Genomic DNA, 23,142 nt, shown 5'->3' with positions numbered 1-23,142 from the left:
ACTATATTGATGGTAGTGAAGGACCTCATGTTAAGTGAAATAAGCCAGGTACAGAAAGACAAATACTGTATGATTTCACTCATGTGTAGAATCTTAAAGAAAAGAAAAGAATTGATTTCATAGTTGCAGAGAGTAGAACAGTAGTTACCAAAGACTAGGGAGGAAACAGGGGAGCAGACAATGGGGAGAGGTTGGTCAAGGGGTACAAAGTTACAATTAGATAGAAGAAATAAGTTCTGGTGTTCTATTGCATAGCAGGATGACAATGGTTAACAGCAAGGCATTGTATATTACAAAATAGCTAGAAGAGAGCCTTTTGCATGTTCTTATCACAAAGAAATGATAAATGCATGAGGTGAAGGATACACTAAATACCCTGATTTGATCATTATACAACATACATGTCTCAAACCATCAAACTGTACCTCATAAATACGTACAATCACGTGTCAAATTTTTTTTAAGAAAGAAAAACAGACATCAAGAGGGAAAATTTCACCAGAGAACTAAAGTCTATAACAGCATCAAATGAGAGATGGAGCAAGAGGGTGGAATGGAAGGCTCCACAGATCTTCTTCCCACCCCTACAAGGATGCCAAGTTAAAAACTATGTACACAGAAAAAACACCTTCATAAGAACCAAAAAATCAGGTGAGCACTCAAAGTACCTGGTTTTAACTTCATATTGCTGAAAGAGGCACTGAAGAGACAGAGAAAAACAGTCCTGAATCGCTTACACCAGTCCTCCCCAACCCGCAGCAGCAACAGAGTGGTGCAGAGAGCACTGGGGGAGAGAGAACACAGCAGCTGTGAGACATTGAACTCAGTGCTGTCTTGTTACAGCAGAAAGGAAAACCAGACCAAACTCAGCTGACACCCATCCACAGAGGGCACATTTAAACCAGCCCTAGGCAGAGGGGAATCAGTCCCAGCTGTCAGAACTTGAGTGCCTGCAAACCTCACCATGGAGGGCTACAGTGCTCTGTGTCTTCAGTAAACTTGAAAGGCAGTCTAGGCAATAAGGACTGCAACTCTTAGGTGAGTCCTAGTGCTGAACTAGGCCCAGAGACAGTGGACTGTGGGGGCATGCAACATACTGAGACAAAAGCTGGGACAGCCAAGGGAGTGCTGGCATCATCCCTCCCCTAACCCCAGGCTGCACAACTCGTGGCTCCAAAAGAGACCCCTTCCTTCCACTTGAGGAGAGGAGAGGAGAGGAAAGAGTGGGGAGGATTTTGTCTTCCATCTTGGATACTCGCTCAGCCATAGCTGGCCAAATAGGGCATTGGACAGAGTCATGACTCTCCTCCTCGTTCCAGGCCCCAGATCCCAGATGACATTTCTAGACACACCCTGGGTCAGAAGGGAACCTGCTGCCTTGAAGAGAAGGATCCAGTCCTAGAAGCATTCATCACCTGCTAACTGAAGAGCCCTTGGGCCCTGAAAAACCAGCAGCGATACCCAGGTACTACACTGAGGGACTTGGTGAGCCTCTGAGACTTTCTGGCTTCATCTACCAGCATGGCCACAGCAAAGCAGAGCATCAGGCGTGCTCTTGGGGTCCCCAATTCTAGGACTTAACTCTCAGATAGGATTTCTGGACCTGCCATGGGCCAGAGGGTAGGCCTCTGCCCTGATTGGTGAGTCCCAGGCCAGGCAGCATTCACCACAAGCTGACTTAAGAGCCCTTGGGCCTTAAAGGAACACTATCTGGTAGTCTGGCAACACTCCTGGTGGTCTAGGGTGGGTAGATATGGGGTGAGGCTCCTCTGCTTTTGGTAAGGGGAGGGAAGAGTGGAAAGGACTGCATCTGGTGGTTTGAATGCCAGCTCAGCCACAATGCAATAGAACACAAAGGAAGACTTCTAAGGCTTTTGACTCTTATCCCTGATTCCTAGACAGTACTTCTGAACCCATCCAGGGCCTGGGGGACCTCACCATCCTGAAAGGAAAAACACAGGCCTAGCTGGCTTTGCCATCTGCTGATTAGAGTCCCAGAGCCTTAAGCAAACATTAGCAGTAACCAGGGAGTGATTACAACAGTGTTTGGGCAAAACTTAGTGCTGTACTGTCTTCAGGTCAGACCTAGTGCAGTCATAGTGGTGGTGGCCACAGGGGTGCTTGTGTCACTCCACTCCCAGCTTTAGGTGGCTCAGAGCAGAGAGACAGAGACTCTGTTTGTTTTGGAGAAAGTAAGGGAAGAGAACAAGAGTCTCTGCCTGGGAATCCAGAGAATTCTCCCAGATCTTGTCCAAGGCCATCAAGGTGTACCTCTGTGAGTCTGCAAGAACCATAGCGTTACTGGGCTTGGGGTGCCCCCTAAAGTAGATACAGCTTAGTTAACAACATGCAAGTTCTTTCAAATATCTAGAAAGCCTTCCCAAGAAGGATAGCCACAAATAAGCCCAGACAGTGGAGACTACAATAAATAATTAACTCTTCAATACCCAGACACTGAAGAACATCTATTAGCATCAACACCATCCAGGAAAACATGACCCCACCAAATGAAGTAAATAAAGCACCAAGGACCAATCCTGGAGAAACAGAGATATGTGACCTTTCAGACACAGAATTCGAAATAGCTGTGTTGAGGAAACTCAAAGAAATTCAAGATAACACAGAGAAGGAATTTAGAATTCTATCAGATAAATTTAACAAAGAGATTGATATAAAAAGAACCAAGCAGAAAAATATAATTGGAGCTAAAAAATGTAATTAGCATACTGAAGAATGCATCAGAGTTTCTTTTTTTTTTTTTTTTTTTTTTTTGAGACGGAGTCTCGCTCTGTCGCCCAGGCTGGAGTGCAGTGGCGGGATCTCGGCTCACTGCAAGCTCCGCCTCCCGGGTTCACGCCATTCTCCTGCCTCAGCCTCCCAAGTAGCTGGGACTACAGGTGCCCGCCACTACGCCCGGCTAATTTTTTGTATTTTTAGTAGAGACGGGGTTTCACCGTTTTAGCTGGGATGGTCTCGATCTCCTGACCTCGTGATCCGCCCGCCTCGGCCTCCCAAAGTGCTGGGATTACAGGCGTGAGCCACCGCGCCCGGCCATCAGAGTTTCTTAATAGCAGAATTGATCAAGCCGAAGAAAGATTTAGTGAGCTTGGGCCAGGTGTGGTGGCTCACACCTGTAATCTCAGCACTTTGGGAGGCTGAGGCGGGTGGATCACCCGAGGTCAGGAGTTTGAGACCAGCCTGACCAACATGGTGAAACCCTGTCTCTACTAAAAATACAAAAGTTAGCCGGGCATGGTGGTGGGTGCCTGTAATCCCAGCTACTCAAGAGGCTGAGACAGGAGTATCACTTGAACCCAGGAGGCAGAGATTGCAGTTAGCTGAGATCGCACCATTGCACTCCAGCCTGGGCAAAGAGGGTGAAGTTCCATCTCAAAAAACAAAAAGGAAAGAAAAAAAGAAAAAGATTTAGTGAGCTTGGAGACAAGCTATTGGAAAATACACAGTCAGAGGAGACAAAAGAAAAAATAATAAAATGCTGGGTGTGTTGGCTCATGCCTATAATCCCAGCACTTTGGGAGGCGGAGGCAGGTGGATCACCTGAGCTCAAGAGTTTGAGACCAGCCTGACCAACATGATGAAACCCCATCTCTACTAAAAATAAAAAAAAGTTATCTGGACATGGTGGCAAGTGTCTGTAATCCCAGCTACTCAGGAGGGAGGCTAAGGCAGGAGAATCACTTGAACCCGGGAGGCGCAGGTTGCAGTGAACTGAGAACATGTCACCGCACTCCAGCCTGGGCAACAGAGCAAGACTCTGTCTCAATAAAAAAAAAAAGAAAAAAAAGAAAAGAAAAAAGAATAAAAAACAATGAAAACATGCCTATAGGATCTAGAAAATAGCCTCAAAAGGGCAAACCTAAGAATTATTGGCCTTAAAGAGGAGGCAGAGAAAGAGATAAGGGTAAAAGGTTTATTCAAGGAGATGATAACAGAGAATGTCCCAGACCTAGAGTAAGATATCAATATCCAAGTACAAGAAGGTTATAGAACACCAAGCAGAATTAACCCAAAGAAGACTTCCTGAAGGCATTTAATATTCAAACTCCCAAAAGTCAAAGATAAAAAAGGATCCTAAAATCAGCAAGAAAAAACAAACAACATACAATGGAGCTCCAATATGTCTGGCAGCAGACTTTTCAGTGGAAACCTTACAGTCCATGAACGAGTGGCATGACATTTTTAAAGTGCTGAAGAAAAAAAAACTTCTACCCTAGAATAGTATATCTGATGAAAATATCCTTCCAATGTGAAGGAGAAATAAAGGCTTTCTTGGACAAAAAAAGTTGAGAGATGATTTTATCAATACTAGACCTGTTCTACAAGAAATATTAATGAGAGTACTTCAATCAGAAAAGAAAGGACATTAAGAAGCAATAATCACCAGAAGAAACAAAACTCACTGGTAATAGTAAGTACACAGAAAAACACAGAATATTGTAACACTTTAACTGTGGTGTGTAAACTACTCTTATCCTAAGTAGAAAGACTAAACAATGAACTAATCAAATATGATAACTACAACAACTTTTCAAGACATACTCCGTACAAAAAGATATAAATAGAAACAACAAAAAGTTAAAAGCAGTTGGATGAAATTAAGGCATACAGTTTTTATTAGTTTTCTTTTTGCTTGTTTGTTTGTTTATGCAAATAGTGTCCAGTTGTTATCAGGTTAAAATAATGGCTTATAAGATAGTATTTGCAAATCTCATGATTATCTCAAACCAAAAAACATACAATGGATACACAAAAAATAAAAAGTAAGCAATTAAATCATATCCCCAGAGAAAATTACCTTCACTAGAGGAAGACAGGAAGGAAAGATGAAAGAGAAGACCATAAAACCACCAGAAAACAAATACTAAAATAGTAGGAGTAAATCCTTAATTATCAATAATAACATTGAATGTAAATGGACTAAACTCTCCAATCGAAAGACAGAGACTGGCTGAATGGATGGAAAAACAATATCCATTGAGCTGTTGCCTACAAGAAACACACTTCACCTATAAATACACACATAGACTGAAAATAAAAGGATGAAAAAAGACATTCCATGCAAATAAAAACAAAAAAAGAGCAAGAGTTGCTATACTTACATCAGATAAAATAGATTTTAAGACAAAATCCCTGTAAGAAGAGACAAAGAAGGTCACTGTATAATGATAAAGGGGTCACTTCAGCAAGATGATATAACAATTATAAATATATATGCACCCAGCATTGGAGCACTCAAATATATAAAGAAAATGTTATTAGTGCTAATGAGAAAGATAGGCACCAATACAATAATAGCTGGAGATGTCAGCACCACACTTTCAGCATTGGATAGATCTTCCAGACAGAAAATTAACAAAGAAACATCATGCTTAATCTGTACTATAGACCAAATGGATCTAATAGATATTTACACAACATTTCAGCTAAGAGCTGCAGAATACACATTTGTTTCCACAGCATATGGATCATTCTCAAGGATAGACCATATATTAAATACAAAACAAGTCTTAAAACATTAAAACAAATCAAAATAATATCAAGCATCTTCTCTGACCACAATGGAATGAAACTAGAAATTAATAACAAGAGGAATTTTGGAAACTGCACAAATACATAAAAATTAAAAAATATTCTCCTGAATGACCAGTAGGTCAATAAAGAAATTAAGAAGGAAATTGAAAAATTTCTTGAAACAAATAATCATGGAAACATAATATACCAAAACCTATGGGATACAGCAAAAGCAGTACTAAGATGGAAGTTTATAGCTATAAATTCCTACATCAAAAAAGAGGAAAAACTTCAAATGAATAATCTAATGATGCATCTTTAAAAACTAGAAAAGCAAGAGAAAACCAAACCGAAAACTAGTAGAAGAAAATAAATAATAAAATCAGAGCAAAAATAAATGAAATTGAAATTAAAAAATACAAAAGATCAATGAAACAAAAAGTTGTTTTTTTGAAAAGTTAAACAAGATTGACAAACCTTTAGCCAGACTAACTAAGAAAAAAAGAGAGAAAATTCAAATAAATAAAACCAGAAATGAAAACAGAGACACTACAACTGATACTGCAGAAATTCAAAGGATCATTAGTGGCTACTATGAGCAACTATATGTCAATAAATTGGAAAATTGAAAAGAAATGAACAAATTCTTAGATACATGCAACCTACCAAGATTGAACCAGGAAGAAATTCAAAACCTAAATAGGCCAATAAAAGTAACAAGATAGAAGCTCTAATATAAAGCCTACCAGTAAATAAAAACATGGGATCTGATGGCTTCACTGCTGAATTCTACCACACATTTAAAGAAGAACTAATACCAATCCTACTCAAACTATTTCAAAAAATAAAGGAAGAAGGAATACTTCCAAACCATTCTATGATGCCAGTATTATCCTGATACCAAAAGCAGATAAAGACACATCAAAGAAGAAAACTAAACGCTAATATCCCCGGTGAACATTGATGCAAAAATCCTCAGCAAAATACTAGCAAATCAAATGCAGTAATATATTAAAAAGATCATTCATCACGACTGAGTGGGATTTATTCTTGGGATGCAAGGATGATTCAACATATGCAAATCAATCAATGTGATACATCATATCAACAGAATAAAGGACAAAAACCATATGGTCATTTCAATTGATGCTGAAAAAACATTTGATAAAATTCAACATCCCTTCATGATAAAAACACTAAACAAACTGGGTATTGAGGTAAAATACCTCAACATAATAAAAGCAATATAAAACAGACCCACAGCTAGTATCATACTGAATGGAGAAAACCGAAATTCTTTCCTCTAAGATCTGAAACACAACAAGGATGCCCACTTTCACCACTGTTATTCACCATAGTACTGGAAGTCCTATTTAAAGCAATCAGACAAGAGAAAAAAATGAAAGGCATCTGAATTGGAAAGGAAGAAGTCAAATTATCCTTGTCTGCAAATAATATGATCTTATATCTGGAAAAATCCAAAGACTCCACCAAAAAAAAAAAAAAAACCTATTAGAACCAATAAACAAATTCAGTAATGTTGCAGGGCACAAAATCAATACGCAAAGATCAGTAGCATTTCTATATGCTACTGATATAGCATATAGAAAATATGCATATATTCTGAAAATATAGCACATATTCTGAAAAGAAATCAAGAAAGTAATCCCACTTATAACAGATGCTAATAAAATTAAATCCTAGAAATTAAATTCACCAAAAAAGTGAAAGATTTCTATAACAAAAACTAAAACATTGATGAAAGAAATTGAAGATGACACACACAAAAAGGAGAGAGATCCCATGTTCATGTACTGGAAGAATCAATACTGTTAAAATGTCCATACCATCCAAAGCAATCCCACAGATTCAATGAAATTCCTATCAAAATACCAATGACATTCTTCACAAAAATAGAAAAAAATATCCTAATATTTATATGAAACCACAAAAGACCCAGAATAGCCAAAGCTATTCTAAGTAAAAAGAACAAATCTGGAGGAATCACATAACTTCGAATCATATCACAGAGCCTTAGTAACCACAACAGCATGGTACTGGCATAAGAACAGTCACAAAGACCAATGGAACACAATAGAATACCCAGAAATAAATTCACATACCTACAGTAAACTCATTTTTGACATAGGTGTCAAGAACATACACTGGGAAAAAGACAGTCTCTTCAATAAATGGTGTTGGGAAAACTGGATCTCCATATACAAATGAATGAAACTAGACCCCTATCTCTAACCATACACAAAAATAAAACCAAAATGGATTAAAGACCTAAATCTAAGACCTAAAATGATGCGACAACTAAAAGAAAACACGAGGGAAACTCTCTAGGATGTTGGACTGGGCAAAGTTTTCTTAAATAATACCCACAGGCACAGGTGACCAAAGCAAACATGGATGAATAGGATCACATCAAGTTAAAAACCTTCTGCACAGCAAAGCAAGTAATCAACAAAGTGAAGAGACAATGCACAGAATGGGAGAAAATATTTGCAAACTCTCTGACAAGGGATTAATAACCAGAATATAAAAAGAGCTCAAGCAACTCTATAAAAAAATCTAATAATCCAATCAAAAATGGGCAAAAGATTTGAAAAGACATTTCTCAAAAGAAGACACACAAATGACAACAGGCATATCAAAACGTGCTCAACATCACTGATTATCAGAGAAATGCAAATGAAAAACTACAATAAGATTTATCTCACCCCAGTTAAAATGGCTTATATTTCAAAAGACAGGCAATAACAAAGGCTGGCGAGGATGTGGAGAAAAGAGAACCCCCAAACACGTTAGTGGAAATGTAAATTAGTACAACAACCATGGAGAACAGTTTAGAGTTTCCTTAAAAAACTGAAAATTGAGCTACCAGTGGAATCCAGCAATCCCACTGCTGGGTATATACTCAAAAGAAAGGAAATCAGTATATTGAAAAGATGTCTACACTCCTATGTTTGTTGCAGCACTATATACAATAGCTAAGATTTGGGAGCAACCTAAGTGTCCATCAACAGATCAATGGATAAAGAAAATGTGGTACATATACACAATGGAGTACCATTCAGCCATAAAAAGAATGAGATCCTGTCATTTGCAACAACATGGATGGAACTAAAGATCATTAAGATCATTATGTTAAGTGAAATAAGCCAGGTACAGAAAGAGAGACATCACATGTTCTCACTAATTTGTGGGATCTAAAAATGAAAACAATTGAAGTTATGGACATAGAAAGCAGAAGAATGGTTACTAGAAGCTGGGAAGGATGGTGGGAGGGGAGGGAAGAGATGTGGATGGTTAATGGGTACAAAAAATATAGTTAGAAAGAATGAATAAGACCTACTATTTGATAGCATGATAGGGTGCCTATAGTCAATAATAACCTAACTGTATAATTTAAAATAACTTAAAGAGTGTAATTGGATTCTTTGTAAATCAAAGGATAAATGCTTAAGGGGATGGCTACCCCATTCTCTTTGGTGTGCTTATTTCACATTGCATGCCTGTTTCAAAACATCTCATGTACCCTGTAAATATATACACCTACTATGTAGGTACAAAAATAATAAATAATAATAATAAAATAAAAGTATCAAATGAAACTTCTAGAACCAAAGAATGAGACAACTGAAATTAGGACCAAACCGCTTATTAGACATAACAAAAAAGGGGATTTGTGAACTAGAAAATACTTCAGTTAAAATATTAAAATTGAACTTCATTGAGCAAAAAGACCAAAAAATGCAAAAATAGCATCATGAGGGCTATACAGAACACAGAGAAAAAGTCTAACATACATATAATTGGAGGTACAGAGATAAGGAGAGAGATAATAATGCAGAAGCAATATTTGAAGATACAATGGCTGCGATTTTTTCAAAACTGATGGAAGATATCAGAGAAGTACCACAAACCCCAAGTGCGACAAATACAAGGGAAATCACAATTAGGTTCATGATTATAAAATTTCTGCAAACTATAATCTTAAAAGCATCTAAGGAAAAAGACACATTATCCTTAAAGGAACATCAATAAGACTGACAGCTACTTTTTCCAAAGAGAAATAGAAGCCAGAAGGCAATGCAATGACATCTTTAAAGTGGCAAAAGAAAACATGAAAAACAAAAATTCCAACCTAGAGTTGTTTATTCAGGGAAAACATCACTGATGTGAAAATGAAATATGTATCTTTAGCGATAAGCCAAAACAGAATTCATCACCAGGGGACCCACAATAAAGTAAATGCTTAAAGGAATTCTTTGGACAGAAGGAAAGTTATCCTAGCAATCCAAGAGGGAATGAAGAGCAATAGAGAAAGCAAATGGTAAATCTAATGCATAGTTACTGCCTTATGGGGCTTAAAATATAGAGATAATTTAGATTCATGAAAATCATAACACCAAATTAAGAGGGGAAGTGTAATTGGAATTAGTGTCATATTGTCTATTATAGGAAACAACGAAAATCCTATTGAATTTGTCAAGCCAACCCTCGGGGTTCTTGTGAAGGCATCTGGGCAGAACTCAGCCAAAGTGAAATTAGTTAAAAAGAGGTTAGAACAAACTGAAACTGAAGGTAAAAACTTGAATTCAGCCACGGCAGATCAAGTGAATTTGACCATAAGACCAAAATCCTAAACAGGACAAAGGTATCAATGTCCTGGTTACTTGAAGAGCTTTTAGTTAAGAGGCAGAATGTAGCACCAAAACTGGATTGAAAATAGAAAAAACAAGATATATTTTCCTCTTATCCTTAGCAATATAAACACATATTAACCACAAAGTTGGCCATGAATTGAGAAGTCTGTGGAATTTTAGGTCCAAGGAAGTTAACTTATCATTTATTAGGTACTTGCTAATTGTGAAATATTGAACACCTCTTCTCCAAAAATTGGGCTACTGATATCTAATTCTCTCTTTTGGTATGTCTAATCTGCTACTAAAAATATTTATTAAATTTAAAATTTTTTGATTTTTCTATTTTCCCTTTGTAGATGTTCTATTAGTTCTTCAAAGAAAAATCTACCTGTGATTATGTTATGGTTTTCTGCTACTAAGCTGATCTTTATTTTTTTCCTTAAGAATCATAAACATTCTTGCTCTATAACTTGTATATGATAATTGTAGTAGCTGAAGTATTTGGAAATTTGTTTGAGTCTAATTGTGATTTCCTTTGTATTTATCCCATTTGGGGTTTGTAGTACTTCTCTGATATCTTTCATCAGTTTTGAAAAAATGGCAGCCATTATATCTTCAAATTTAGGTGACATCATGGTGTTTTGTTTACTTATGTACCTCTTTTATTAAAAAAATCTATTAATATATTATTGTTCCTTGTGTTTACAAAATCATTTATAGGGGTACTTAAGGCCCAGGATGAACTGAAGTTGCCTTCCTTCAGAAAGAATTTATATTTGCTTCTGAAAGATATCTGGAGGAACTACCACTTAAGCCAAATTCAAGGCTTGAGAGTCCTTGACCCACCAGAGAATGTGAAAGCCACCTGCTTATATGCAGGAAGGCTGTGTCACTTCTGATTCTTTTTCACTCCTGGGATTGGTCCTTTGAGGTTCAAGTTTATTGTATCGACAATTTCTTAGTAGACTTTCAGACTTATGTAGCCTTTGGCTTTAAATACTGAGCATCCCATGAAAACATCAAAAGGAAGTTCAGTTTTGCAGGATCAGCAAATATATCAGGGCAAAAGTTGTTTATGTGATTCCTTAATATTTTCCTCCCATTTAGGTCAGGTAATTCCTTTCTATCTTGTTAGCTCCTGGATGCTTTAAGGTAGATGCTTTTTGTATTATATTCAGCATTTCAGTAGGATAATGTACCTGCTATTCCCAGAAACTGGAAGTCTAGTATAAGGAATAATCTGCATTATGCTGACATTATCTCATGGAATTGGAAGTTCAAGTGGTTAATATGTTCCTTGTAAGCTGAAAATAGCTGCAAAATTGTCACTTACTGTTAAAAAGTAGGAGAAATAAACCAAATTTTTCCATGCTGGCTCTCATGTGGGGATGTGCCATCTCCCCAAAATGACTCTGATGTGGCAAGTTCCCACTCACTACTTAACCCAAGAAGAAAATTTATCAGGGCTTTACTACAAAGCAGAGATCAACAAATTGTGAGTCAAATCTAATCTGCAACTTGTTTTTATAAATACAGTTTTGCTGGAACACAGACACACCATTTCTTCATGCGTTGTCTATGACTGCTTTTGTGTTACAAGGACTGAATTGAATATCAGCAACAGAGGCTGTATGGCTCACAAAACCTACAATATTTACACTCTGGCCTTTTACAGAAAAAGTTTGCCAATCCCTGCTAAAAAGTATTATTCCTCAGATGTCCTGCTTGATCAGTTTAAGTTCTGGGAGCAAGTCAACGCTAGCAAATTATTTTCTGCATTATTTTCATGCAGTTTTAAATACTGGGAGCATGAACTCAGTATGATAGACTCTTGAGTCACACTGAGAAATTTAAACAGGAAATAGCACTAAAGAGCAAAATAAGGCCGGGTGCAGCGGCTCACATCTGTAATCCCAGAACTCTGGGAGGCCGAGGCAGGTGGATCACCTGAGGTCAGGAGTTCAAGACCAGCTGGGCCAACAAGGTGAAACCCCTCTACTAAAAATACAAAAATCAGCTGGGCATGGTGGTGCATGCCTGTAAACCCAGCTACTTGGGAGGCTGAGGCAGGAGAATTGCTTGAACCCGGGAGGCCAAGATCATGCCACTGCACTCCAGCCTGGGCAACTGAACAACACTCCACCAAAAAAATAAAAAAGCAAAATATGAATATCTTCAGACAGTAACACGGTAATGTAATGTAATTATTACTCTTAAACAGCTCGAAACAATTTTCTTTTCTTGCACACATATAAGTTCACTTAGCTGCAACTTTTTTTTTAAAGAGTGCATTTTCCTCTTCATTTGTAAAGTCAAGCTTTTCATTTTTTCATTAACCAGTACTTCTCTGGGCTATGTAATATAGAGAAGGCTTAGAGGAAATGAAATTTACAAGCAGCAAGGAACGACAAATTCAGGCACAGATCACTGGTGATGGAGGGACTTTAGCAGATGCTCAGCTCTCTTCCTCTACACTGGGCTGGCAGAGTTTGTGGGGCAGGGTGAGCCAGCAGGGCGGTTATGCCAAAGAGCAGGATAACTTTCTGAGGCAATTCCTGCTTCTCAGGAGTAATCATATAAACTTTAGCAGAAAAATCAAAGAAACTGGAAAAGGAAGTGATGTGCAGGATCCAGTACTGTGCTGCTTTTCTCCTCAGTACCAGTGCTATTGAACAGATCCTGTTTCTGTCTATGATATCAATGAGGCTATGGCTCCAGCTCCCAACTGTGCACCTGTTTTACGTATGTAGACAGGTGGTGATGCCATTTACTCTACCATTGTTAAGACCGCATCAGTGTTTCTATGTGGAATATTGGCTTAGTGAATGCCACTTAGTCAACAGGATGGCTGGGTTGATGTGCATTTTTCTGAGATGAACCAGGAGCCATGAAAAATGCACTAACCCCATAGTGAAAGTGTCTGTGCTACTAGATAAAAACAAGGAAGAAAATACTTTCCCCTGACTCAGAGCCCTGTTGGACAAATGCCTTCCAAGATGTGAAAGAGACTGTAAAATAGTCCTGGGTCCAGGAATGAAGAGTAAAGAAATAATACTATCATTTCTTTGTAGAGAATCAGCTGCTTTACACATATGCCATTTTGTTTATTAATCCATCTGAAAATTCCCTGGGGATTTTGAGCTGGCTCTTTGCCTGCAGATGAGTCTGTAACTCTGTGACAATTAACTGTAATGACTTCGAGACAGACTCTTCTCAATCACCGCCCAGTACTGGGCTGCCAAAAGCCATCTGCACCTGGGTGGCTGAGTAACAGCACCCCCATTTAATTTGGCTTTTCATGTGGAATCTACTGTCCTCTGTCTTAGCCGGAGAGCCAAGACGACTCTAAATTCCCTTCTGTGATGTGGAGTGGTAGGAAAGGAAGGGGGAGTATGTGGGAAAATCTGAGGGGCTCCCTTCTTTAAGACCAAGACACAAAAAGCCCCTCTATTCCTGACCACCTGGGCTCACCAGGCTCATTATGTGAAAGCTTAAGGGTTGACCAGGCAGTCAGAGGAATGCAGAGCATCAGAGAAGAGAGTTCCTATGTGGCCAGTTCCTGGTGCCCCCAGAGAGAGAGGCAGGAGACCTCTGGTAATTTTCCAGGCATTCAGCATGCACTGCAGTGCCCTTCACACAAGCACAGTGGCCAGGGAGCCAGATGGGCTCTATTTCAGGCAAAGTCAGAAAAGGGACCAGAGTCTGGACTCACTTAGCTCCATAGTCTTGCTGCTGGCCCTCTGTCTTTTGACACTGGATTTACCTTTCATTAGTCCCCAAAGGGAGGGCACATCCCAGCTGGGGCCTCTGGAAGCTGTGGACTTGCTGATTTGCACCCTTCTTGTGCATATTTTTATGTGGGCTGGGAACACAGATGGCTCCATCCAAGTTGCTGAAAACCCAGCTGGTTATTGCTGCACTAGAACGACCTGAGTTTGGGGATCTGAGTTTTCCCTGCCAGAGCCTTGGGCAAGTTGGGAAACATATTTGTCTTTGAATTAGAGCACAGGCGGATGAGGTCCAAGATGCTGCATCCCCACCGTGTCCTGTGTGCTGTGGGAAATAAAAGAAAAGCAACATTAAGCACAGCACATTACACACAGCACCCCTGCTCCCTTACATCCTTTTTTTTTTTTTTGAATTAGGCAGGTTAAAAATTGATTATGAAACAATATTATCATCTTCCTTTTTCTCCCACTTTTAAAACCAAACTTGTTCTATCCAATTCTAAGTAATGCTGAAATAGACTTTCATAAACTAAATTCACAAATCATATCAATCCAACATTTATTGGGCACCTACTTTATCCCAGGAATTATGCTAGGTACTGGAAATTTTAAAAATGAGTAACACATGGTCTCTATGATCTCATAGTCTAACTAGGAGAGATATGTGTAAAAGAAGATAGGCGTGAAAAAATATGTAAATGTTGTAATAAAGGTAGATATAAGAGTGGTTGGGAATATGAAGAGGGATATTTCTTTTGGGGGAACAGCAAGACCCAGACCTAGAGTAGCAATACTTAAGGGAAAATAAGACTTCATCTGGGGCATGAGGTGGGAGGGAGGGAAACTACCTCCGTGAAATACGGAGGCCTGCGTAGGACACTGATGGCTGCTCTACTGTGTCTAGTCTCACCAGCCCTTCCTTCTTAACTCTGATTTATTCGGGGATCTACCTCTATTCACTTGATTCAGGGGAAGTTGACCCTATCCCCGGCTGAGGGGCAGATCCCAATTAGTCCAAGATAAACACGGCAGTCACATTCCTGTGATTGATGGATTTAGAAATGGGTACATGATCAAATGCTGGCCAATGAGACATGAAGTCTCTTGGTTATCCAGGAAAGCTTCCCCTCTAAGAAAACAACATGTGAAGAGATAGTTGCCTTTCTTCCCACAGATGTTATCCTGTTTACTGCAATTAAGGGGGGTTTTCAGCTGCAGAGAGACATAGTTTGACTGTAGGTTTAGGGTAGCCAGAGCAGGAGGCATCACTGGGAAGTAGCTGGAAGTATCTGGGGAAGGACCTTGAGTTCGTCAAAGTTTCCATCTCCCAAGGTAAGCAGATGGGGTTATTCCCACAGTCATGGCCATGGCACAGTGACAACAAAACTGAACATCTTGACTCAAGGTGACCTTGTGCTAGAAAACAGGGTAGCCAGGTGAGGTGATACAGCTCTTAAGGACAGGGGTGGCTCATTTTAGTAAAGATTCTGCTAAAACGACACCCTCTATGGAAACTCTGAAGCTGTGTACCAGTCTTTTCAATCATGTCCATATACCTGAGTTGTAATCACTCATGATTGAAGTAAAGTGTGTAAAGTGTTTAGCGCAGTATCACAAATGTGGTAAGTGCTCGGTACACGTCAGTACCAGCATTATCACACACAGCAAAAAATCATTTCTGGAAGCTAAAGATAGCAGACTAATCTATAAAAATAATCCCAGGGAGATTTCTCTCTCCTCTGCCAGTTGGGAAGTTGGTTTGCCTAGTTGTATTTTGATTTCATTCCTAACAATTACCTTAGTCATCTCATAAGTTTTTCCTTGCACCCTTGGGACCATCGGGCCCATGACTCCAGCACCGCTCTAGCTGCAGGCTGCAGTTGGTCTTACTGATCCGAATTCTCAAATTTAGGTTGCTGATCCCACAAGCGTGAACTTCTTGGCTCTGTGTCTGGGCTCTCTGCTTTCAGTTAGACAGGAAACCGGGGCTGGGCAAACCTCCAAGGTTTTAGATTGGCCTTCTGTTCAGATAAGCTGCTAAGGATGTTTCTACTTGGGAACAGTAACAGCTCAAGTTTTTTCCTGGGTTTTAACTTGTGCCTTTGTGACATACCAACAGATTTAGAACTGACGTTATGATTGGAGTGAAAATACCCACATGTGACTTGAGTTAAACAGACCTCCACTGATCAGAGCCACAAGGCCAACTAATCTCAGGGTGTTAAACGGAAATTCTCTGAGAGGCACCAAGCAATCTATGCTATGAGAGATAAGTCAGGGAAAAGAGGTCTTTAGCCCGTGTGCTTATTTTTAACTGAGTTCAGTTTCATGTTGGGATACAAAGCAGTTTCTTTAGGATCTTAGAGAACTAGCCCAGTAGGGTGGGAGTTCAAATCCCCGCTCCATTGCTTATTAGGTATGGCCAAGTTATTTCTCTGATCCTCAGTTTCTTTACCGAAACTGATGATAATAACTTTCTCATAGGATTAGTGTGAGGATCAAAGTAGACATGTGCCAGAGGACTGGAACATAATAAATGCTCAATAAATAGTGGGTACTATTTCTAAATCCCCCAGGAGAGGTGACTGCTATTGTGTAAATGTATTTTACAAGTTCAGAAAAAATTAGATTAAGAAAAATAATGAAAACTAGCATTAATCAAAAATTTACTATGTTCCAGGCACGCTTCCAAGTATTTACATGTGTAACTCATTGAATCCTCACAACACTCTTTATTATTATTATTATTATTAATTTTTTATTTTTTTTGTCTCGCTGTGTCACCCAGGCTGGAGTGCAGTGGTGTGATCTCAGCTCACTGCAACCTCCGCCTCCCAGGTTCAAGCTATTCTGCCTCAGTCTCCCTCCTGAGTAGCTGGGATTACAGGCATGTGCCACCCTGCCTGCCTAATTATTGTATTTTTAGTAGAGACAGGGTTTCACCATGTTGGCCAGGCTAGTCTGGAATTCCTGGCCTCAAGTGATCCACCCCCTCGGCCTCTCAAAGTGCTGGGATTACAGGCGTGAGCCACCATGCCTGGCCTATTATTCCTATCTTACAGACAAGGAAACTCAGGCACTAGGAGATTAAGTAGCCCCTCTAAAATGGTGAGCAAAATAGGCCCAAGCTATTAGTCCTTCTGATAGACCAGTTTGCTTGAGAGAACAAATTCTTTCAGACATTCTCATTATATTTGATTCTTTCTGGATCTTTCATATTGGCTACCCAGGCTTAAGAATTTCCCCATGTTCCCTAGAAGCACTATATTAGGGAGAAGATGGTTCAAGTACTGCTAAAACTAATACTGGAATTTTCCACCTCAGTTGGGAAGAATGAATATAGCCCTGGGAAAGGAAATTCTTATTTTACCTTTGCAATCAATTCAGCTGTATAAAAAACATAGTACAACAAACAAACCAACCTTCAAAAAATAGATAACTATGAACAAATCAACAAAGAATCTCTGGCTGCATCCAACTTTTGCCCCTTTTGGAAACAAACCATGGACCTTATCCAGACATGGAGATCTCTTCATTCAGGTTCAGCTTTATTTAAATAGGTGAGTTGAAGTATCTATGAAGATTTGTTCAGCAAACCATTAAGCATTTAATATGTGTACAACACTAACAGACTCAGTGGTTGTAAAGAAATAACATGTGTCTTAGGTCAGGTCTGAACCTGAGGGACTCTAAGATAAGGTGTTTCCAGCCAAGAATCTGAAATAGAAGATTCAAGATTGTTCATCTCTAAGAAGAACCACAAGCCCAGCCTTTGGGGGCTGGCACTCTCCAAAACATGCTCTTGACTGTGTCTTACCCATTCCTTCAGCTCTCTTTCTTGCCTCATTTGAGTTGTTTGATTTTGTTTTCATTTATCGATTATCTGATAAATGGCTCTCAAAATATAATTTATGGGACTCAGGTAAGACCAGTTCCTTAAAGTTTAAAGCATTCGTGCTTAAAATTGGACAGTAATAATATATTTTCTAGACATATAAATAACTGCTTATTTCATCCCATGCTTTCAAATCCCAGGCAATTTGCTTCTCTTACCATTATTACTCTACCTTTTCCCTCATTCCTCAATACCCTGCAATGTCTTCTCTCTCCTTGTCAAAATCCGGCATCTTCTATCAAGGCCCTGATGCCATGAGTCAATTCCGTGAACCGTAAGGCAAAATCAATTTCTAATCATTTTACCACTATTATATTACTGTATTCTCACCAGTTTAGGCAAGGTGTTGAAATGCTTTTGAGGGAGAGCAGTTGCAGAGCAGTGTCCTTTCCCCCTCAAATCTAAGGCTAGAAACCCAAGAACCACTAGTCTAATAAATACCCTCCATGTGCCAGGATTGCCATTAGTAACTGTAATCAAATGAACCTTTGCGAGATGCTACAGGGGAGCTGTGATGCAATTATCACTAACTGAATTGTTCCAGTTGATTCCTGGGCATTGCTGGCTTTGTTTATGGCTCAGATGAGTACATTTTAATGATCCAGAGAAAATGAGCATAAGCTGCCACTTCCAGTAAATACTAATTATGAATAAATAAATGCAAATGGAATTGTTGGTGACAATTAATTCCTTTTGATTTTAGTCTCCCTGATTTACTTTTACATTAGTGGGCACTCTTGCTAAAAGTGGAAAGAACTGTTCCTGTTAGAGACGGTGGCCACCTTTCACCTAAAATCATTTCAACCCTGCAAGGTGCAAGTGAACCCAAGTTAGGGCTCCAGACAGCCAACCTTCCAAATGAAAGTACATCCTGTACTAGCCAGGAAACATCTGAGGAGATCTACATTCTCAAAAGCATGCCATTTGCTTGTATGACAATGGTGAGAACATACAAATATTATACATTTCAACAAAGTTCCACACATTAGAGAACAAACTCCTGGATATCTGAGATGTTCAACACTATTCAGTTTTATTTGACATATTTCTTTCAAGTCTAGCATTTCAAACAAAAAGGAAATTCATTGCCTTAGGCCAAGTTTTTACTTCACTGACTTCCTAAAGAGAATTATCCTGCAAAATTTTGAAGAATTTGCAATCAAGACTTTCTCAAGAACTTTCAATAGTTTCTTTTTTTCTTATGTAAAATGTTCAAACCTTCAGGCCTATACAATCTGGCACCAATGAACCTTTCTAACCCTCCATATTTTCTGATACTCTTTCCCTTTTCCCAATACCTCATGTTCCAACTAAATATCATATAACTGACTATTGTCTGAAATAATCCATACTTTCAAATTCTATGCAATTTGTTCCACTGAGCACTATCACTCTATTCTATCCTTCCTCTCACCCCCCAGTACCCTACAAGGTCCTACCTCTCCCTTTCAAAAATCCTGCATCCTCTATCAAGGTCCGGATTTCATGAGTCATTCCATATACTATAAGCCAAAGTAAATTTTTAAAAATGCTATCACTATTATAATATTACCCATATATAACTACCTGAATATAACTACCTGATACAGTTATTTTCTGCTTATAGTTTATTCCCTTTTGAGGTCCTCTACCAAGTCCCAAGGCTGCCACATGGTACATTCTCATTAAATGCTCTTAAGTGTGTTGAATCATATTGAAATAATGGCTATAGTTTACTGTTCTTATTATTTATAGCATTATCAAAATAATTGCTCTAACAAGTATCTTAAGATCTTAAGTATATCAAAGTTATCATATACATGATTCTTCCTTTACATGGCCTAATTTTATTTTCCCTACATGAATTCAGAGCTTGTTTCTCAGTGTTTTATACCCTTTCAAACTGGCCTTTTATAACAACCCTATCTATTAAGGTGAATAAGGTATGTTTTCTTTCTTTCTTTCTTTCTTTTTTTTTTTCAAGACGGAGTCTTGCTCTGTCACCCAGGCTGGAGTGCAATGGCACGATCTCTGCTCACTGCAAGCTCCACCTCCCAGGTTCATGCCATTCTCCCACCTCAGCCTCCCAAGTAGCTGGGACTACAGGCACCCGCCACCATGCCCGGCTAATTTTTTGTATTTTTTAGTAGAGACGGGGTTTCGCTATGTTAGCCAGGATGGTCTCGATCTCCTGACCTTGTGATCCACCTGCCTCGGCCTCCCAAAGTGGTTTTCTTTCTTAACAGATGATGAGCATCAACACGTTTGCTGGATACAATGTGATAGGCAAAGTGAAGAATGCAAAAGAAATAGTATATGTTGTCTCAGGAGTATGCAATTTTTAGGGAACCATAAGGAGTCATGGTACCAGCTTATAGTGCAGAAGAAAACCGAGGAAAGAAGAGACAAGTGGGAGTTGCAGTGGTGGGGTAGAGGTCCTGGAAGAGGTGGGGTTGGGATATGCCTTGAGGACAGGCAGAAAGTCTGGCATAGCATAGAGAGGAGGGCATTGTCTGCTGAGTGAGGAGCTGTACAAAGCCACATGCTGGCATGCGCAATGAGGAAAGTGGGAGGGATGTGGGCAGGCTAATGGGACAGGAAGGGAAATAGCCAGCTAAACTGGAGTGAACAATCTGTGTTGGGTAGATGGGGCGAGAAGGAAAGTAGTAGGTAGATATAAGTTAAATAGTTTGGATGCAGTCAGCCAATGAGGCATTTTAGGAAAGGCATTTTAAGAAAAACAAACACAGAACACAAAACAAAACAAAAAGGCCTTTAAGGAAAAAAAAAAAAAAACTAACAGGGAGCCATTATAGATTCTTGAGCAAGCGCAAGGCGAGAGCAAGCCTTTCCCTTTATGAAGATTAGTGTGAACACTGATTGCAAAATTGGTTGGAGAAAAGAGACTAAAAACAGGGGAGGGAAGTGAGAGGCCAGCACTGTGTTGCAAGGGGGAGGTGAGGAGGTGAAGCCCTAGGATGTCAGGGAAGGCCTGGAGAGTTGAGGATGACCACAAGGCATTCCAAAGGAAGAGGGAGTCACTGTAAGCTTACTCATTTCCGAATTCACAGCACTTAACAGTTTATAGACACTTAATACATTTTTGATCAATATATAAACTCAATATATAATTGTCTAGCCACCATCCAAACATGTTCTGAGAAAAAATGTTTTCTCTCTCTCCCCTAGTGAACAGAAAAGTCTATCTTCCTTGCTACAGAAGTCACCAGGCTAGAACCCTGGGTCTTTCTTTCACTCCTCCGTTTCCCTATAGTGAGGCTCTCTTCTTCAATAAGTTCAAATTCAATGGTAGGTGTGGTCACAGGGAGAAACAGTGGATACCATCAGGACTCCGAGGTCCCAAGGAAGACTTTCTGAAGGAGGTAACCTAAAATTGCCAGAAGTGAATGAAGAGGGTGGTTGTGAGTGAAGCCTTTCAGGTAGAGGCAGAAGCTTGAACAAGATGAATAGGAGTGAGAAACAGGTTTGTAAGTGGGTACTGATGAGTGGCATTATGTGTCTTGCGATCTGTTTGCCAGCATAATGCTTTGATAAATTGCGTTCCTGCCCCATCCATCACCCAGCACCTACAGGGGAACTGCAAAGGTATGCTAAACAGCAACAATAATCCAGGTATAACTGGAATCAAAGAACCCAGCTCTGAAATTTGCCATAAACTCTGAAAGAGATTTTCACTGTTTCACTATTTATCTACTCTGCAATTGATCTTGAACTATTTAATGATGCATATGCAGACAAGGTGAAAACATCCTGCAGAGAGAATACAAATGTGAGCCCTTTGTCTGACAGGTGAAATAGGGCAGGAAAACTGTAGATGGAAATGAAATTCTGTAAACCCATTCTACCGCCAGTAGCCCCTATGAATGTGAAACATTGATTTACTGCTACCACCATTCTAAATTCTGAATAAATTTCCTTAATACCATCTAAGCCTCTGGTGGGCTGAAATTTTCAGGGGCAAGGTCAAAGATTGTCCGTCAGTTATCAAAAACATACTGAGCTTCTACTAAGTGCCAAGCACTATGACAGAATCACAATGGTTGGGAGAAACAGCAACAATAGGTGGATATCAACATTAATCTGCCACTATTTTTTTTTTTACAGACAACTCATTGAGGGTAGGTATTCTTCATATGGATCAGGTAATCAATGGATACTGCACAAAAGAATGCTTAACATAGGAGTGAAGAAACAGCATCTCCACAAGAAGAGAATTTCTTAAGGAGTTCTTAGGTTCTAACTGAGGTCCATTGGGAGTCAGTGGACAAGTGGCAGGTAGCTGGAAGAACACTGAAGGAATTGTAGACAGTTTCAACATGGCTTTTCCTCTCTTTGGGTGCAAGCGAGCTGTGGGTGCAAACAAGCCATGGGTGCAAGCCATATGTACAACGTCATCAGGGTAGTTATACCTTTTAGAGACAATAGTGGCTCCGAGCCAAGCACCAGCTCATGTGGGTGATCACCTAATGTGCTCACATGGCATAGTTACATAACTTGTGGAGTTGTGCGCCTGTGCTCCAAACTTGCTGAGTCATGCTGTACTGGATATCTACCTTGGCCTATTCTTGACTGCAGCACATCCATTTTTCTTACACTCCATCCCCTAGGCCGAAGGAGACATAGGCCTTGGACACTGGTCTGACACATAGGCCTTATACATAGGATCTGGGCACACAGGCCCCAGACACACAGGTTCAACACATAGGCCTTACATCCCACCCCCTAGGCTAAGGGAGTATTCTAGTGGGGAGACACACCCACAGGGTGGAATTGTGTAACCAGAGGCCACAGCAGTAATACAGGGAGCAACAACTCCAGGTTATAGCAGGCAACCACCCCATGGTGATGTTACCCCAATGTTGCTTTATACACTAAGCCAGGTTTTTATTTCCCTACTGTATGAGTCAGAGTTCTCTAGAGGGACAGAATTAATAGGATATATATGGGAGTTTATTAAGTATTAACTTACATGATCACAAGATCCCACAATAGGCTGTCTGTAAGCTTGAGGATCAAGGAGAGCCAGACTGAGTCTCAAAACTGAAGAAATTGGAGTCCAGTGTTCAACAGCAAGAAGCATCCAGCATGGGAGAAAGAGGTAGGCTGGAAGGCTAGGCCAGTGTAGACTTTTCACATTTTTCTGCCTACTTTACATTCGCTGGCAGCTGATTAGATGGTACCTGCCAGATTAAGGGTGGGTCTGCCTTCCCCAGCCCACTAACTCAAATGTTAATCTCAAGGTTAACCACAAGGTTAAGCCTCAATAAACTGCCCAGCTATCGGTGTGGATTGTCATAGGTGTCACTTCCTTGGTGATCTTCATTCATATTGC

General features: G+C 39.7%; 2 annotated features.

The window, feature by feature from the left end:
- Window positions 713-871: a silencer, noted in NCBI's record as "fragment chr1:184280921-184281079 (GRCh37/hg19 assembly coordinates)". NCBI's record gives its function as "represses an EF-1alpha promoter that drives an FKBP-Casp9 reporter gene in an ReSE screen in phorbol 12-myristate 13-acetate-treated (for megakaryocytic differentiation) K562 erythroleukemia cells {active_cell/tissue: K562(+PMA)}" and the evidence as "EXISTENCE:reporter gene assay evidence [ECO:0000049][PMID:32094911]".
- Window positions 21,581-22,780: an enhancer, noted in NCBI's record as "MED14-independent group 3 enhancer chr1:184259012-184260211 (GRCh37/hg19 assembly coordinates)". NCBI's record gives its function as "activates an origin of replication core promoter dependent on BRD2, BRD4, P300/CBP and CDK7 cofactors, and independent of MED14, by STARR-seq in HCT116 cells {active_cell/tissue: HCT116}" and the evidence as "EXISTENCE:reporter gene assay evidence [ECO:0000049][PMID:35650434]".

Source organism: Homo sapiens, chromosome 1, assembly GCF_000001405.40.
Source record: "Homo sapiens chromosome 1, GRCh38.p14 Primary Assembly".
NCBI classification, from domain to species: Eukaryota; Metazoa; Chordata; class Mammalia; order Primates; family Hominidae; genus Homo; species Homo sapiens.
The sequence above is the reverse complement of the archived record's forward strand: the minus strand, read 5'-3'. Positions and strand labels throughout refer to the sequence as shown.